Source organism: Homo sapiens, chromosome 6 (assembly GCF_000001405.40).
Source record: "Homo sapiens chromosome 6, GRCh38.p14 Primary Assembly".
NCBI classification, from domain to species: Eukaryota; Metazoa; Chordata; class Mammalia; order Primates; family Hominidae; genus Homo; species Homo sapiens.
Genome location: NC_000006.12, coordinates 131,853,564 through 131,871,562, shown reverse-complemented (window position 1 = coordinate 131,871,562; position 17,999 = coordinate 131,853,564). Strand labels below are relative to the sequence as shown.

General features: G+C 37.5%; 1 protein-coding gene across 1 annotated transcript in view, besides 1 other annotated feature; it reads right to left on the bottom strand.

Annotated features, from left to right (window-relative positions):
- The window catches only part of ENPP1 (ectonucleotide pyrophosphatase/phosphodiesterase 1), an 87,136-nt gene that overhangs the window by 23,593 nt on the left and 45,544 nt on the right, over nucleotides 1–17,999 (bottom strand). The window contains exons 6-13 of the mRNA NM_006208.3: nucleotides 16,540–16,637; nucleotides 12,816–12,895; nucleotides 11,057–11,176; nucleotides 9,859–9,968; nucleotides 6,992–7,057; nucleotides 6,625–6,697; nucleotides 3,437–3,545; nucleotides 2,074–2,205 (exon numbers count right to left, since the gene is read on the bottom strand). Coding sequence (NP_006199.2) covers nucleotides 2,074–2,205; nucleotides 3,437–3,545; nucleotides 6,625–6,697; nucleotides 6,992–7,057; nucleotides 9,859–9,968; nucleotides 11,057–11,176; nucleotides 12,816–12,895; nucleotides 16,540–16,637 — 788 coding nt within the window. The remainder of the gene's footprint in view (nucleotides 1–2,073; nucleotides 2,206–3,436; nucleotides 3,546–6,624; nucleotides 6,698–6,991; nucleotides 7,058–9,858; nucleotides 9,969–11,056; nucleotides 11,177–12,815; nucleotides 12,896–16,539; nucleotides 16,638–17,999) is intronic.
- Nucleotides 11,459–12,005: an enhancer, noted in NCBI's record as "NANOG hESC enhancer chr6:132180698-132181244 (GRCh37/hg19 assembly coordinates)". NCBI's record gives its function as "activates a minimal SCP1, AML or CMV promoter by ChIP-STARR-seq in naive H9 embryonic stem cells {active_cell/tissue: H9 hESC(naive)}" and the evidence as "EXISTENCE:reporter gene assay evidence [ECO:0000049][PMID:30033119]".

Genomic DNA, 17,999 nt, shown 5'->3' with positions numbered 1-17,999 from the left:
AGACATAATCCAAGCTTAACAACGGTTGTTTCTAGAGAGGGGAAATGAGTTGTCAAGTAGGAGGACTTCAGGTGGGAAGCTGTTTCTTTTTACTTTGTATACTTCAATATTCAATGATAGTTCTAGAATTTTCAAATAAGAGGGGTATGAGGAAACTTCAAAGAGAAGGCAAGTAGACTAGTTTAAAAACTGCATTTGCATAGTATGCCCATGGATTTACATAGGGTACTTTCTACTACAAATCAATAACTGTCTAGCTTCCTAGATTTTATTTTAGCCAAACATTACATAAATTTGAGAAAATTATCCAGATAAGAGTATACATTTTATATACATATATTTTATATATTTATGTAAAGTGACATACATATATAGTTTTTGCTTTAATTTGGGAAACTTGAGGGCCTAAGATAAGGGTATGGTACAGCTTAGCTATCCCATCCCAAACATCTCTGGAGACTGCTATTGCCTGTAGAGCTTTTTTTTTTTAGATGGAGTCTCTCTCTGTCACCAGGCTGGAGTGCAGTGGCGCAATCTCAGCTCACTGCAACCTCTGCCTCCCAGGTTCAAGCAATTCTCCTGCCTCAGCCTTCCCAGTAGCTGAGATTGCAGGCACATGCCACCACGCTCAGATAATTTTTGTATTTTTCATAGAGACGGGTTTCACCACGTTGGCCAGGATGGTCTTGATCTCTTAACCTTATGATCCGCCCGCCTCGGCCTCCCAAAGTGCTGGAATAACAGGCGTGAGCCACCATCGTGTCCAGTCTATCTGTATAGTTTTTATAACAGGTTTTATAACAGTCATGTACTACTTTTCTAAATTAAAAAAATACGAATTAAAACTTGGTATTAGGCATATGCAGCCTGTGCTTTGTGACACTGTGTAAATCTATCTGCATAACCATTTTCCTGCAGTGAAATCTATTTTCTTCATTAATAGTCAATAGTATCTATCTATTGAAACATATCTTACCAAATAGACCAACCTAACCCAATTCCGGTAATTGTCAGAAAAGCTTATTCTCTTTCTGTTTCAAAGTTAACTAACTATATCATATCAAAAAGACAAACAAAATTTGCTCTACACATCTGAAAGTTATCATGGATGGTAATCAAAAAGAGAGGGAGGTAACAGAGGTGGAAACAGTTATGAAATACACTTGACTGGCAAAAGAATAAATATTTTAAAACATCTTTTGGCAGTTTATGTTCCACATGTGGTCAAGAGATGTGAAATTCATTCTTCCCTATGTAAAAGATACATTCTTTATTGTTTCTGAAATGGTTTAAGGGAGGACAGGAATCAATTGCCTATAGAATTAATCATTTCTGCCAGCACTCCTCCTCACAACAGAATATTAATCCCAAACTAAGTAATTTTAATGGAGTGTCATTAATTAATTAAACTTGAATAAATGTAGTTGGATTTCTCTCTTAAACATTTTTTCTAGTATAATCTTTATCCTGACACACAAGTAAAACACACACTTCAACATAAAATTGCACTAAGCTCATCAAATATTATGCTTAGTCCATGAATAACCAATAGGTAAGTTGTGTTCTCGCATCCAGTCCCATAAAATCCATTTGTGTACAAAAGCTCTGCATTGGAGATTTAATCATAAAAAAATTAACTGTGATTCCCTTTAGTTTAGCGATATAATGATTTAAAGGAAGGTATTCTTTTTTTTTTTTTTTTTTTTTTAGACCAAGTCTCACTCAGTTGCCCAGGCTGGAGTACAGTGGCATGATCTTAGCTCACTGTAACCTCCGCCTCCTGGGTTCAAGCGATTCTTGTACCTCAGCCTCCAGAGCAGCTGGGATTACAGGCAGCTGCCACCAAGCCAGGCTAATTTTTGTATTTTTAGTATAGATATAGTATAGTATCGTATATGTATTTTTAGGGTTTCACCATGTTGGCCAGGCTGGTCTCGAACTCCTGACCTCAGGTGATCCACCCACTTTGGCCTCCCAAAGTGCTGCGATTACAGGCATGAGCCACTGTGCCCGGCCTAAAGGAAGGTATTCTTAATATGACCATATTCAAAGTTATCACAGAGATATACTTACATGAATAGTATTTATCTGGGACATCAGAGGGTCTCAATCGAGCTGCAGGTCCATAGATAACTTTAATATTTTTAACATCCCCCAAATATTTATTCAGATATATGTATTTCTTACAACTGCCTTGTTCCATGCCTAGGAGAAAAAAAAAATCCCAAAACATGCTGTAACTTTAACAAAAAATTTAATATGCAGAGCAGAACTTCTTTCACTTCCAAGGTTAAATTCGTTAAACATGGGTGTAGCACTCATATTAGTTGAAGATCTGATAGGTAAGACAGAATTTCAGCTGTACCTATCACTTCACTTTTTTCAAAATCTTTTCCGTCACCCAAATTTTGGTTAATGTTTCTTCTTATTTATATATTACAATATCATTATGTGAGCAAAGAAGAATGTCTTATCACATTTTTAGACCGAATGTGAAAGCCCAGTTATTTGCCCCAAACCACCTAGGATATTAACTGGGAGTGTATGTGTATGATTCACTCTCATTCCAAGACTGGTACTTCTTTGCATGTAACTTCTTAGGACTGCTTCTAAACACAGATTTCTATAATTATTTCTGAAGCAAAAAACAAGAACAAAAACAAAAAGAACCTATTTTCTATTTTCCATAGGCACGCTGCTCCTATAGTCCCCAAACTGTACACAAGCGTGTTACAAAGATCACAGTAAGTAAAAGTGAAAATATTATCAAAATTAATATATCATGCTTCTAAAGTCAGATTTATCAAGCTAAAGAAAATTGAAGGCTGGGCACGATGGCTAATGCCTGTAATCCCACTACTTTGGAAGGCAGCAGTGGGAGCTTGAGAGCAAGAGTTTGAGACCAGCCTGCTCAACATAGCAAGATCCCATGTCTACCAAAAAAAATTTTTTTTAATTAGCCAGGTGTGGTGGCACATGCCAGTAGTTCCAGCTACTCAGGAGGCTGAGGTAGGAGAATCACTTGAGCCCAGGAAGTTGAGGCTGCAGTGAGCTGTGATCATGCTACTGCACTCCAGCCTGGCTAACAGAATGAGACTGTCTCAAAAACAACAACAAAAAAAGGAAATTGAAGCTATAATAATCAGTTCCAACTAAATCTAAAATTGTAGAGTTACACAAATTTAATGTTGAAAATATATATTTTTTAGCTATTCAAATTCTTGGTGTATTGTGCTTGATAGGCACTTAGGTTTCTGTGAATTCTGTGTTTCACTTATATTTTATATTTAATGTATTTTTTTCCTAAAGACTGTCCATAAGAAACTACATTTTTAAAAAAGAATTAACTACAACATTCAGAAAAAATTGGGAAACCATCAAGTAAACTTTCTTCAGCCCTTTATCCTGAAGAGTAAATAATGCAAATTCAGATTACCATGATCTGAAATAAGGATGAGGTTCAGGCATCTGTGCAAGTTCAGCTCTTTCAGACCATCCATCAGCATACCAACCATACCATCAACCCTCTGCAAGGCTTTGATGACCTAAGAATGGGAAGCAACAACCTCATGTGATACCTTCCACACTAATGGCTATTTATACATAAAGCTATCTCTGTTAAAAAAAAAAAAAAAGAAAGAAACAAAGAAAGAAAGAAAGACAGACAGATAGATAGATAAGGGCCAGTGGATGCAACTACAATGAGCTGATTCACATTAGACTAAGACAGGTCAGGGTCAGAGATACAAAGAACAGTAAATAACTGCAGATCATTAACAATGCAAGAGTCCTAATTCTATACACGTTCAATTTTAAGTTTTGGGAATGAGATTAGCTGATCTATTCCTGAGGTCAGAATGCTACTACTTAGATTAGACCCAACTTAAGCCAAAATAATAATAGCTCAAATCTACAGTGTTTGGCCAGAAACCAATATGTTCTTAATTACCACTTCATTTTCCACAATTCATTTCTTCTTATACTTTCTGATCATTCAAATGGTCACTGTATAAATATGTTTCCTAATTTTCAAAAATGTTCAAATTATTCATGAAATGCTTCTTATAATTCAATGTATTTAATTTTCTAAATTAGAACTCATAGGAATATAACCCATTATTTCCTTACAAACTGCATGTATTTTACATATGAATATCACAAGAACACAGAATGACAAATGATATTGGCAAACTGCTTTCTGGCACTTATTTTATCCTCTCTCCTTGCAAAACCATTTGAGAAAAATTTTTGTGCAGTTTTGTGTATTTTCTGTAATGTGTGGAATCAGCTTAATCTTCATTCATTGTCAGTATTATTTCACTATAATATGAGATAAGCTCTTTCACTGTAACATGAAACAAGACAACGTCTTTCATTCAAAGTTATCCAAGCAACATGAACTGGAATTTTTAAGTATTAAGATAAAGTGGGTTTTGGTGTGCCAGTAATGTTGGAGTTCACAGAGTTTGCAAATTGATGGATATGATTTGAAAAGTAATGGGCTCAACCTTAAATGAAGATGACTCAGAAAAGCAAGTGCTTTGGCACACTGTTAGTGAATTAGAAAAGGCAGCAATGATTTTCAAATGTATGTAACCTTATAAACAAGTATAAAATGATCCTGGGATTTTTCTGTAGCCAAATTGACCCAGACACAAGTCTTGGGTATCAGTGACTTTAGTGAAAGAGTAAAAATCACACTAGCATGTAGCCAATTGTTCAAATCAAGACAACAGCTACAAGAAACTTTTCCCTTTGACCAATTATGACATGTCCACATTGCTGGCATGCATCTTCCTTATCCTCCCTCTAAGCAGGAGTATTTCTGCCAAGTTGAAGGACAGAATGAAAGGAAGGCACAATGGAGTTACTAACTACAGTGGAGCTGCTGGAGATGGATTTTGATGGAAAGAATACAAAGGGTAAAAACAGACCTAGGTGAGGGTCAACTTCCTTCTCTCTTCACTCTCTTTTATCCAAGGTGATAGTGATCCAAGCAGTACCTACTTTTTAAGAGGGGCAAATCTAGCGCAGACCCAGGGAAAGGGAAATGAAGGGAAGATGGTTTAGGCAGCTGTTGTAAATTCAAGTGAGAAAAATAAGGATGCTTTTTTGCCTCCCTTCCTTCCTCTGCTGTTGCTGAATTAGGCAAGCAGCACCCTCAAAAACAGGGACCATGACAGACATGTCAGGCCAGGCTTTAGTCTGAACGCTGTGCTGAAGAGTCCTTAAGGCTCACCGACTATCCAACCTGGGCTACCTGGGCGGGAGAACTGATAGGAATTTGGGAGTGAAGCCCTAGAAAATTAAGAAAGAGTGTTTTTTTTAATAGTCTATGACCCCTTGGAATCACAGGGGGCACAAGATCACTACACAAGGATTCTGACAGGAGGGATCCTGGCAATACCTCTTTTCACTTTTTTCATGACCCAAAATAGTCAAGATCCTTACTTTTTACTTCCTTTCATATCTTAGGTCACCAACAAAATATATATCAGAAGGAAAGTCAACTTAGAGGTACAAGGAAATATGCTCAAATCATTTTCTTTTTCTCTTTTTTTTTTTTTTGAGACAGAGTCCCGCTCTGTGCCCAGGCTGGAGTACAGTGGTGCGATCTCGGCTCACTGAAACCTCCCCATCCTGGGTTCAAGCGATTCTCTTGCCTCAGCCTCCTGAGTAGCTGGGATTATAGGCACACACCACCAGGCCCGGCTAATTTTTTTGTATTTTTAGTAGAGACAGGGTTTTGCCATGTTGGCCAGGCTGGCCTCAAATTCCTGACCTCAGGTGATCCACCTGCCTCAGCCTCCCAAAGTGCTGGGATTACAGGCGTTAGCCATGGTGCCGAGCCTTCAGATCCTTTTCTGTTCTAATGCTTCCTGTGTTCCAAAATACTAGGTTGGTGCAAAAGTAATTGTGTTTTTTTGCCATTAAAATGGTAACAAAAATGATATGGCCACGTGAAAACTGAAAGCAGTGTTTGCTGTTTTAAAGTGCTACACAGATTAAAAACATAGCTAGGCGCTGGCTAAGTTCCTGAAAGGGTGTCAGGTCAAACGAGATGTTACACTGAAAGTGTTAGTCCATGAGCTGTTTCGTACCTCTAGTTTCCTAGGAAATATTCAACAAAATCACGTATTCAAATATCGCTACACTTTTGATAAAATCTCCCATCCTTCTATGGGACCTCTGTTGTAAGCATGGTCTCAGGTGGCCAAAGACCTATCTCCTAAGGAAGAGAGTTCATAGGAGGCTTCCTCTGCTATTTGACTTATTACCCTGTATTTTCACACTGGAGGTTTAGCTGTTTATAACATTCTCAAAAAGCACTTAGTATTTAGGCCAAGGTAAGGGGCGATGGAGTGGATAAAGGCTTTCAAATTGAAAATATAGAAGCTAATTGATCATCAGTTTAATTTAGCACTGTGGAAAACACAGGCTAAACAATTCTCCCAACTCTTATTTTGTTTAAAGTGCATCCTTATATTTAGTAATATTGTGTATAATACTTGCTTTTTCCAGAAATGATAGAATCTTATAAAATGGTCTAGCAGCCTCCTTCAAAGCGAGGTTCAGTTTGATGACTGGGTTTAATGAAATAATTACTGATAAAAATGTACTTACTTCACTGCTGACTGGTCCATATGAATGACCTGAAGAATCTGGTTCTTCTAAATACAGAGTGTAAAAGTGTGGTCTAAATCAAACAGTATCAAAATGTAATATTTTACGAACACATTGAAAAACAGAATGGAAAAAATAATTCATCAATTGATAGGGATTAAATTTTATAACACTGGTGTAACAGTTCTACTGAGAAATAATTTACAGCTTTGAAATTCTTCAAAATGTGGTATGATCATTTACTAAAGAATTTATTTCGATATAAAACATCATAGCAAATAGCAAAGTTTTGTTGTAGTCTATTTTAAAATAGTATATCATTTCTACAAAACGAAGTATTTACAATAGAAATTAATTGCCTACAGACCTTTCATCTTTAGGAAGCTGTAGCCACTGAAGAACAGCTAAAATCCTTTCTTCAAATGGTACTGAACTAAAATGAAGAACAAACAAAAATAAAAGATGGCTGACAATTGTTTGGGTGTAAAATATAGTTTTTTTCATTGAAAATGTCATTAAGAGCTACTAAATGCTATTTCGCATCTATTGTGTTTGAAATCAAGGGTTTTATTTGAAAACTTTATTTTCCCAATGAAAGAATGAAAGTTAGGTTTTACACAGATAAAAATTGCAATTGGATTTAAAACTTTGCTTGCTATCCTCTACTTGAGGATAATATTCATGGACCTGAAAACAGTAACTGCATACCACATGAATAACTCATATGTTAATATACTTTGCAAAGCATACATCATGAAGCACTCACTCACTGATGACTCAGCACAGCTGTGAAGCAGGCCCCTGAGGAGCAGACAGCAGTTCTCTACGCAGTATTTCCTGAGCAGAATTGAATATGCCTTCCTCTGGACACAGGCTTTGTTTACACACCTCTAATCAGAGTTCTTGCCCCACCCCAAGTACAATTAGTTGTATACTCTACTAAATCTTAAAAAGCCAAGAGATCATATACTATTAATCTTTGAATCCCCCATGCTTAGTACACAAACTCTTCTTTGTTTTTTTTGAGACAGAGTCTCACTCTGTCACCAGGCTGGAGTGCAGTGGCGCGGTCTCAGTTCACTGCAATCTCCACCTCCCGGGTTCAAACAATTCCCCTGCCTCAGCCTCCCGAGTAGCTGGGACTACAGGCGTGCACCACCACGCCTGGCAATTTTTTTTTTTTTTTTTGTATTTTAGTAGAGACAGGGTTTCACCGTGTTAGCCAGGTGATCTCCTGACCTCGTGATCCGCCTGCCTCAGCCTTCCAAAGTGCTGGGATTACAGGTGTGAGCCACCACGCCCAGCCCATAAACTCTTAATTACTGTCCATGGAATAAAAACAGTGGCAAATAAGAAGGTGGAGAAGAGGCATTGCACTGTGCTCCTGGGAACCATAAAGAACACTAACTAGCATAAGATCACAAGGAAAATTGCTAAGCATTTCGTGTCTGGGATTTAAGATATTTTCTGTTCACCCTTCTAAATGCATTGTTGTATTGATTTTGTGACCGAAATTTTATAATTTAAAAATAAATAAAATTATTTCGGTAATCTTGCTCAAATCGGCCAAAGAGGTTCTTCCATTAAAAAGTTTTTGTATTTTCTCAATGCATCATGGATTTCAAATATCACAGAGAGGTTATTCTAATCAGTTTCTTACATTAGAAAGCATATTTACTAATTTAGAAATGGAAATCCAGAGGTACCATTAATATCTTCTTTTTAATAATATTTGCAAACGCAATAGATGCTAAATAGCAGAGATCATTCCTATCTGTATCCTCTTTAATACACTCATCTTTTCCTTCTCTTGGTTCTGAAACCATCTTTGCAAAAATTGTAACAGCAAATTATGACAGTGAAAGAGATCACACCTAACCAATTCCATCTTGCTTCTAACCTTTAAGCTGTCCTTGTTCATTTCTGAGCATAGGCTGAAATAACCTTGGGAAGGAATTTAGTTGATAGTTTAACTCTGAAACAAAGTTGGTAATAGCCCTTCCCCACCGCCCAGAAAAAAAAAACACACACACAGAAAAAAAAACAACTTCTTGCCTGAGGACTGGTCTACCTTTGTAGGACTAACAAATTAGCTACAAGATCAGAAATTATAGTTTAGGGGCCATGCGGCCTCCAGCTGTAAGAGTCTGAACCTCCCCAAATTGCTCCTGGGAATAACATCACTAGTGTAAAATCTCAGATGAGCGCTTGAGATATTTACCAGACCATGCCCTGCAATCCATGTATCAGCTGACACCACCCAGCCTGGTCATCTGGCTCAACCAGTTTTGCAATCCCAGGAACAGGAGATAGCAAGAAAAACTCACTTGATCCCCTATAATTCCATCCCCAATCCAACGCATCAGCATTCCCCACTTCCCGAACTCCTGTCTGCCAAATTATCCTTAAAAACTTGGATCCCAAAATGCTCGGGGAGACTGATTTGAGTAATAATAAAACTCCAGTCTCCCACACAGCTGGCTCTGCATGAATTACAATTTCTCCATTGCAATTCTCCTGTCTTGATAAACCCAATCTGTCTAGGAAGTGTGCAAGATGAACCTGTTGGGCAGTTACAGTTCTTTTTCTTTCTAGAGTTAAGATGTGCAGTACTCCCACTCCCAGATCTCTACCTCCACCATGACCTCATTTTTCATGTCTGCCCGAAGATCTGAACTAAACACGTTATCGGTGTTTCTCAAAAGGCTCTAGAAAACACTTGTCTAGTCTTTTTTTGTTTGTTGTTTTTTTTTGTTTTTGTTGTTTTTTGATAGGGAGTTTCGCTCTTGTCGCCCAGGCTGGAGTGCAATGACGTGATCTCGGCTCACTGCAACCTCCGCCTCACAGGTTCAAGTGATTCTCCTGCCTCAGCCTTGTGAGTAGCTGGGATTACAGGCGCCCGCCATCACGCCTGGCTAATTTTTGTATTTTTAGTAGAGACGGGGTTTTACCACTTTGGTCAGGCTGGTCTCAAACTCCTGACCTCAGGTGACCCCTCGCCTCAGCCTCCCAAAGTGCTGGGATTACAGGAGTGAGCCACCACAGCTGGCCCACTTGTCTAGTTTTACTGTCCATTTACCATCTATCTAAACTCTTTGAGAAAGAGTTCTTCAGTTCTCATTTTTCAGCCAACATATCACTCAAATGCTAAAGCTCAGGATTCAATAAAAAGGAGATTACATAAGAATAAGCTGTTCTATATTACAGATCCTAGAAAAAATTCATTTCACATACCCATTATACATTTTATAGATGTCTGGGAAAATTCCGTTAATTTCCACATCTGATCCTGGCCAGAAAAATGTGCCAGACTTGAGGCCTTGATACTTAGCTGTGACCCAAATCTGGAGCAGAAAATGAAGGAAAATTAAGAAATCATGCAAACATTCATCTCTTAGGAAAGTATGTATTCATACCACACCAATGCATTCCTCTCTAGTGCTAGAATGCTTTTAAGGTCAACAAGCTTCAGCACTTAGATGACAATAATCATGTAATATGACTCTTAAGCAGCAACAACATATTAAATAGTCAGAGATTAACTCCTGTAGCTTTTGGAGCTATTCCCCTAATTAACAGTTGTCTCTTAAAAGAAAAAAAATTCACGAATATACATGTCTTTAACTTGCTGAGATATCTGTGTATGTAACTAACATTTATTAAGCACTTATTATTGCCAATCATGGTTCTAAATAGTATTCCTACAAGCATGCTACATTATTAATTCACATAATCCTCACAATAATCCTACAAAGTAGTAAACAATATTATCTACATTATAGATATGATAAAACAGAGGCAGAAACAGAATGATTTGTCCAAAGTCACACAGCTTTAAATGTCAGAGCTAAAATTTGAATTCATAACCTGCAAACTAACTATTATGCTCTTTGTCCTTCTAAGAGGAATATCATGATTATTTAAATAGACCTTATATAATTATTGTGGCAATTTTTAAAAAATTTTTTTAAATTGTGGCAATTTAAAAAAGTAAATTGGAGAATTGGAGAATTTTAAAAATTAAAAAGGAGAACACAGCTTGGAAAGTAAATTGGAGATCACAATTGGAAAGAAGCTCCTAAATTAGCACAGGCAAATAAAACCAAGACGTTCAAAAACAACGTAGTTTTGTGTAGATCAAAGCTATTACCCCCATACTACTGCTATATGCTACTGGTAGAAGAAGAATTGATCAGAAAAGAAAAATTGCCCAGCACAACCCAAATCCACCTCTGAAATAAACTACTCTCCTTTTACGCAATTATACAAGTTATGTTTAGGATTATCAGCATTCATCTCCATTTACAAAAGAATGGCCACAGACACACTAAATGAAATCAGTTATTAAAAGCTCTAGAGAATCTGGTTATTTTACTCTGATTGAAATAGATGAGAATAATTAACTATTTTAGTAGAAAAACAAAGAACTCACTGGTTCTCCTTTGTACCACTCAGGATTAAATTTCTCTTTACTTTTAAGTGAAAAGGAAGCATTCATTTTGGGATCATACATTTTATTGTCGATTATGCCATGAGATTCTGGATACAATCCCTAAAAAAGATAAAACAGATTATATGCAAGTTGTGTTTACTTAATGTTAAATACATTCACAGAAAAAAATCATCAAAAAGAAACCGATAACTGAAGCTACATGGAATTATAATAAGTTTAAGGAAAGAAAAACAAAAAAATCAGGTAATGGCAAAACGCAACCTCTTAAGATTTTATGTAGTATTTGTGATTTAAATTATGTAATAGGAGAAAATAAGTCAGTAATACTAAGGATAAAGATCTATATAAAAAAGGCAGCCTCAGCCAGACCCAGTGGCTCACACTTATAATCTCAGCACTTTGGGAGGCTGAGGCAGGCGGATCACGAGGTCAAGAGATGGAGACCATTTGCCAACATGGTGAAACCCTGCAGGGAGCTGAAGGCCCGTGGGACATGACCAACTCAGCATTCCATGGAGGCTATATGGTCAAACAGCAAACTGTTTTTCATGAATGCAGGATGTGGGCAAACTCACACTGCCCTGCCACCAAAAGGTTTGCTGAGGGCCTCACTCCCTGGCCAGGCTCCTTGAAGTTATCTACTGAGAAATCTAGCCTATTGTTAAAAGAATGTAGTCTCGCAAGCCTGCTGTGAACCAAAAGGCCAACTGACAATTAGCCGACAACCACCGCCCTCTACTCGCTATCTCTTTTGCCTAATAAATATGGAGGGCTGTGTAAAGCTCAGGGCCCTTGTCCACTAGAGGCAAGGTACCCCCTGACCCCTTCTTCCAAATATACTCTTTTGTCTTTGTCTTTTATTCCCACATTCCCCCCATCCGCCCCTAGGTCCGGGCAGGCTACAAAACCCCGACTCTACTAAAAACACAAAAATTAGCCGGGCGTGGTGGTGTGCACCTGTAGTCCCAGCTACTTGGGAGGCTGAGGCAGGAGAATTACTTGAACCCGGGAGGTGGAGGTTGCAGTGAGCCGAGATCGCACCACCACACTCCAGTCTGGCAACAGCACAAGAGTCCATCTCAAAAAAACAAAAAAAAAAAAGGTAGCCTCTGAAATTTTGAAAACAATGCTGTTGTCTTTTTAAATTGCTGAGTAAAGCATTTCTGCAGAACAAATTCCTTTTTTGGCGAGGTCCCAGAGTAGCTTGGATCAATATAAGCTAACATACTAATTTTCTGGCTTCAATTCTAAAGCTTAGTGAGTTCTACTGTTTTATTTGACTCAAATTAAATCTGGAAACACTGAAACAAAAACAGGATTGTAATCCTATTTGGAGTCAGGCAAAGTGGCTTGCTTAAATTCATCATCAAGATGATTAGAAAGACAAGTTGTGAACACAGGAGTTTGGGAAGGTTTTTTGGCTCAAATAAAGTAAGCCTCAAAACTAGGATACAAGAATCAGAGAATATTAACACTGAAAGGAAACCAGGAAATCGTTTCTTGAGGTCTTGAGTCATCTCTTTTCACAGATGAGAAAATGGAGACTCAGCCAGTAAAGTGACCTTTCCAAAGCCACAGCTAGTTTGTGGCAGAGCAAAGATCAGAACCTGGGTTTCCTTACTTAACTACCTATTGGAAAATAAGTTGTTTTTCTTTTATCTTAAATCTATTCCCTCAAAAAATGTTACAATCCCATCTCACTTCTTCAAACAGATAGAAGTTGAAATGCAGAGCTTACGGTGACAATGCTGTAGTGATTGGGGAAAGTTTTTGTTGGATATACCGGTCTCATGTTTTTAGTATATGTTCCACATTTTTCTAGAAGGGAAAAAAATAAACATTGTTATTAAATACATCTGACAATTGGCTTACCTCATTTAGCAGTGGTACCACAGCAGTCTAAATCACGTAAAAAAAATTAGCCCAGGAGGGATTTTAATCAGATAAAAATTCAGGATGAATTATAAAGCAACACTGTGGATACAAATCCAATCTTAAAGATGACTTCATTTTTCTCTTAGTCAGAAAAACATTAAAATAATTAAGCCAATTACCCATAACATCACTTCATTCAAGATGAACAAGTTATAATAAAATGATGCTTGTAAGTTCTTTGATACTACTTAGTGGTCAAATACCTAAATCATAAGAGGTAGAATAAGAAAACTGAACTAAGTCTATAAATTAAAACAAGGATGAAGGAGTAGCTGGGAAGACAGGGTCCCAGGCCATAAATCTAGAAGCAGCTAACCCTGGACAAACTCAGCTGCTTTAAAGACAAAAGGCATCTTGTGGCTTCAAGTCCAAGAAAGTGCAGAAGTCCGACTATTCCTGATGCCCTGCTGATCTAGTTCTGGTGCCTCATTCTTTTTCTCCTGCCTCTACTATTGAGGAGGGAACACATAACTAATGATTCCAGCGTTCAATACTCCATTTGCCTAAAAAAGTCCCTCAAATTGGCATGTGTCTATATATCTCACTGCCTTCCATCAGTTCAGAATTACAGGCTACATTCCCTAATTATTCAAAGCTAGGGCTTGGGCTCATGGTTTAATGATTTATTTTAAACTTCATATACAGGTACCTCCACCTCTTAACTCTAAACTCACGATGCCACATTTGGCACCATGGAGACAAGCTCTCCTGATAATGGTAACAAAGGGCTGTATTTATTTATTTATTTTAATTATACTTTAAGTTTTAGGGTACATGTGCACATTGTGCAGGTTAGTTACATATGTATACATGTGTCATGCTGGTGCGCTGCACCCACTAACTCGTCATCTAGCATTAGGTATATCTCCCAATGCTATCGCTCCCCCCTCACCCCACCCCACAACAGTCCCCAGAGTGTGATATTCCCCTTCCTGTGTCCATGTGATCTCATTGTTCAATTCCCACCTATGAGTGAGAATATGTGGTGTTTGGTTTTTTGTTCTTGCGATAGTTTACTGAGAATGATGATTTCCAATTTCATCCATGTCCCTACAAAGGACATGAACTCATCATTTTTTATGGCTGCATAGGATTCCATGGTGTATATGTGCCACATTTTCTTAATCCAGTCTATCATTGTTGGACATTTGGGTTGGTTCCAAGTCTTTGCTATTGTGAATAGTGCCGCAATAAACATATGTGTGCATGTGTCTTTATAGCAGCATGATTTATAGTCCTTTGGGTATATACCCAGTAATGGGATGGCTGGGTCAAATGGTATTTCTAGTTCTAGATCCCTGAGGAATGGCCACACTGACTTCCACAATGGTTGAACTAGTTTACAGTCCCACCAACAGTGTAAAAGTGTTCCTATTTCTCCACATCCTCTCCAGCACCTGTTGTTTCCTGACTTTTTAATGATTGCCATTCTAACTGGTGTGAGATGGTATCTCATAGTGGTTTTGATTTGCCCAAGGTAATTTACAGATTCAATGCCATCCCCATCAAGCTACCAATGACTTTCTTCACAGAATTGGAAAAAACTACTTTAAAGTTCATATGGAACCAAAAAAGAGCCCGCATCGCCAAGTCAATCCTAAGCCAAAAGAACAAAGCTGGAAGCATCACACTACCTGACTTCGAACTATACTACAAGGCTACAGTAACCAAAACAGCATGGTACTGGTACCAAAACAGAGATATAGATCAATGGAACAGAACAGAGCCCTCAGAAATAATGCCACATACCTACAACTATCTGATCTTTGACAAACCTGAGAAAAACAAGCAATGGGGAAAGGATTCCCTATTTAATAAATGGTGCTGGGAAAACTGGCTAGCCATATGTAGAAAGCTGAAACTGGATCCCTTCCTTACACCTTATACAAAAATCAATTCAAGATGGATTAAAGATTTAAACGTTAGACCTAAAACCATAAAAACCCTAGAAGAAAACCTAGGCATTGCCATTCAGGACACAGGCATGGGCAAGGACTTCATGTCCAAAACACCAAAAGCAATGGCAACAAAAGACAAAATTGACAAATGGGATCTAATTAAACTAAAGAGCTTCTGCACAGCAAAAGAAACTACCATCAGAGTGAACAGGTAACCTACAAAATGGGAGAAAATTTTCGCAACCTACTCATCTGACAAAGGGCTAATATCCAGAATCTACAATGAACTCAAACAAATTTACAAGAAAAAAACAAACAACCCCATCAAAAAGTGGGCGAAGGACATGAACAGACACTTCTCAAAAGAAGACATTTATGCAGCCAAAAAACACATGAAAAAATGCTCATCATCACTGGCCAACAAAGGGCTGTATTTAAACTTCAAAGGCCACAGGCCTGCTGGGAAGAACACAGCTTTGTCCATGCAAAGCTAAAGACTTTTTATGCAAAACATTAAAACAAAACAAAACTATCTTCTTCCATGTAGAAATTAAAAACTAAAAATTTTTAAAACTCTCCCAAAATTATTTTGGCACTTCATAAGACAAGCATAATGACGTACATATGAATTTACAAAGAGTGATGTTAATGTTTAAAGCACCTCACATACTCAAATCTGGTAAGCAATATTTTAGAATTCCAGAAAAAAAGCTAAAGTAATTGTATTTACTTACATCTATTTTAGTCCAGTATTACATTGTAGCTGCTTAAAGGTTGTTAACGTGATTTAAAACTTTGGCATCAATATTAAGAAAACACCATTATACTATTTTATGGGGAATTTATAGAAAAATCACTTAATTAAGGCCTGATTGGGATTTAAAAAAAAAAAAAAAGGAAGAGTCCAATTCAATCCAAAGGATAATACAGAATAACTGACAAATATTCTATGTCTGTACTCGTAATATCTCAGAAATACCTTTAGTTTTTGAAATTCTATTTCTGAAATAAAATATCTGTAAAATAAGGCCAGGCATGGTGGCTCACGCCTGTAATCCTAGCACTTTGGAAGGCCAAGGTGGGTGGATTGCTTGAGCCCAGGAGTTAGAGACCAGCCTGAGCAACATGGCAAAACCCTGTCTCTACTAAAAACACAAAAATTAGCCAGGCATGGTGTCATGTGCTTGAAATCCCAGCTACTTGGGAGGCTGTGGCACGAGAATCACTTGAACCTGGGAGGCAGAGGTTGCAGTGAGCCAAGATCACACCACTGCACTCCAGCCTGGGCGACAGAGTGAGACTCAGTCTCAAAAATAATAATATTTGTAAAATAAATAAACAAGGGACTTTTTCACAAGGAATTCAAAATTCTGAGAAAGAATAAATACATATAAAAATGGCCAAAGGTTAAAATTCGAAGATAACTATATTAACTTATTTTTTTGAAGGGCAGCTTCAGAGTAATCACACTATTAAAGATAAGCGCCTTACACAAGGTTCAACTACTTTGCCATAGAAAAGTTTAGTGAAACAGTTAGGTTCTGCCAGTACTTTTCCAAGAAAGACTGCCTGCCTAGTCAATCTCACTGAAATGGTGATATTCCAGCAGTAAACTCTGAAGTTACTCACTTAGTTTGCTAATAACAGGAAGAAGTCCACCCCAAGTGTGTAAATATTCTGCCCTGAATCCATCCAAAGAAAATAAGAGGGTAGGAGGCGTTTCAAACCTGGGTAATGAAAAAGAAAAAAAAATGTTTAAAGAAGCAAAGACAAGACATATCCAATGAAGATGTACCCCCTTCTTGGCACAGGTCCAGTGAAGATTTTCCACTAAGGTCTGTGTGATCTTAAGAAAACTAACTAACAAAGTCGGCAAGCATACTTATAAAGTACGTTTTACATGCATTTATATTTATATACAAGCTCTATCATTTCGTAATACATATATATCATCACATAGTATATATTAAGCATTCATATCATTTTGAGCCACCATACAGAAACATCATTCATGGTTCCTGCTGTTCCAAAAGCTACACCAATTGCTACTAAAATATAATATTGTTTTCCCAATTTGCAGGAAAATAAACAATAAAAAACAACAGCATATAATATTTCCATAAATATTCTTCCTGAACCACCACTTTCTGATATGGACTCTAATACAGTAAATAGTACTTCATATAGTATATACATTACACACTATTTTATTATTTAATTTATTTTATTATTTTATTTTTGAGACAGAGTCTCACTCTGTTCCTCAGGCTGCCGTGCAGTGGCGCTATCACAGCTCACTGCAGCTTCAACCTCCTGGGCTCAAATGATCCTTCTGCCTCACCCTCCCAAGTAGCTGGGACTACAAACACGCACCACCATGCCTGGCTAATTTATTTATTTATTTATTTTTTGTAGACATGAGGTCTCACTATGTTGCCCAGGCTGGTCTCGAACTCCTAGGCTCAAGCAATCTTCCCACCTCGGCCTCCCAAAGTGTTAGGATTACAGGTGTGAGCCACCCACCAAGCCTATATACTGTATTTAGTTTTTAGGCTTAATATATTTAAAAGATATAAATACTTAATACAAAAGTTTGAGAGATACTATATTTAAATATATAAACAACAAAGAAATAATTCAAAGCTGGGAATGATCAATGAGGTTTCAACAACACATACATACATATACAAACAGTTAACGTGTAGTGTGGAAATTTCAAAAAGGAGGCCAAAAACCACAGAGGATGCTAATATACTTGACAAACGAGAATAGCTATGGACAATGGCCATGTGGCTACCCCAAAACGGCCATGGCTCAGAAATTTTTCAGCATCTAGTGATACATGGTAGGTGGTAGGGAACTTCTATAACACTGGATAACTGTTAGACTTCCCACTGAAAGTTTACTCAGTAAATTTAAAACTTGACAGGAAATACCTTACCTTGCCTTTTCAACTCTGCCTCCTCCCACCTTACCCTCACACACAAACACAAAAGCAACCCCACAAGGAGAACATTTTTATACAATTTTCACTAGCTACTATCTGTAACATAGCTCCACTGAGAGACTCTGTAGAACCAGTGTATATA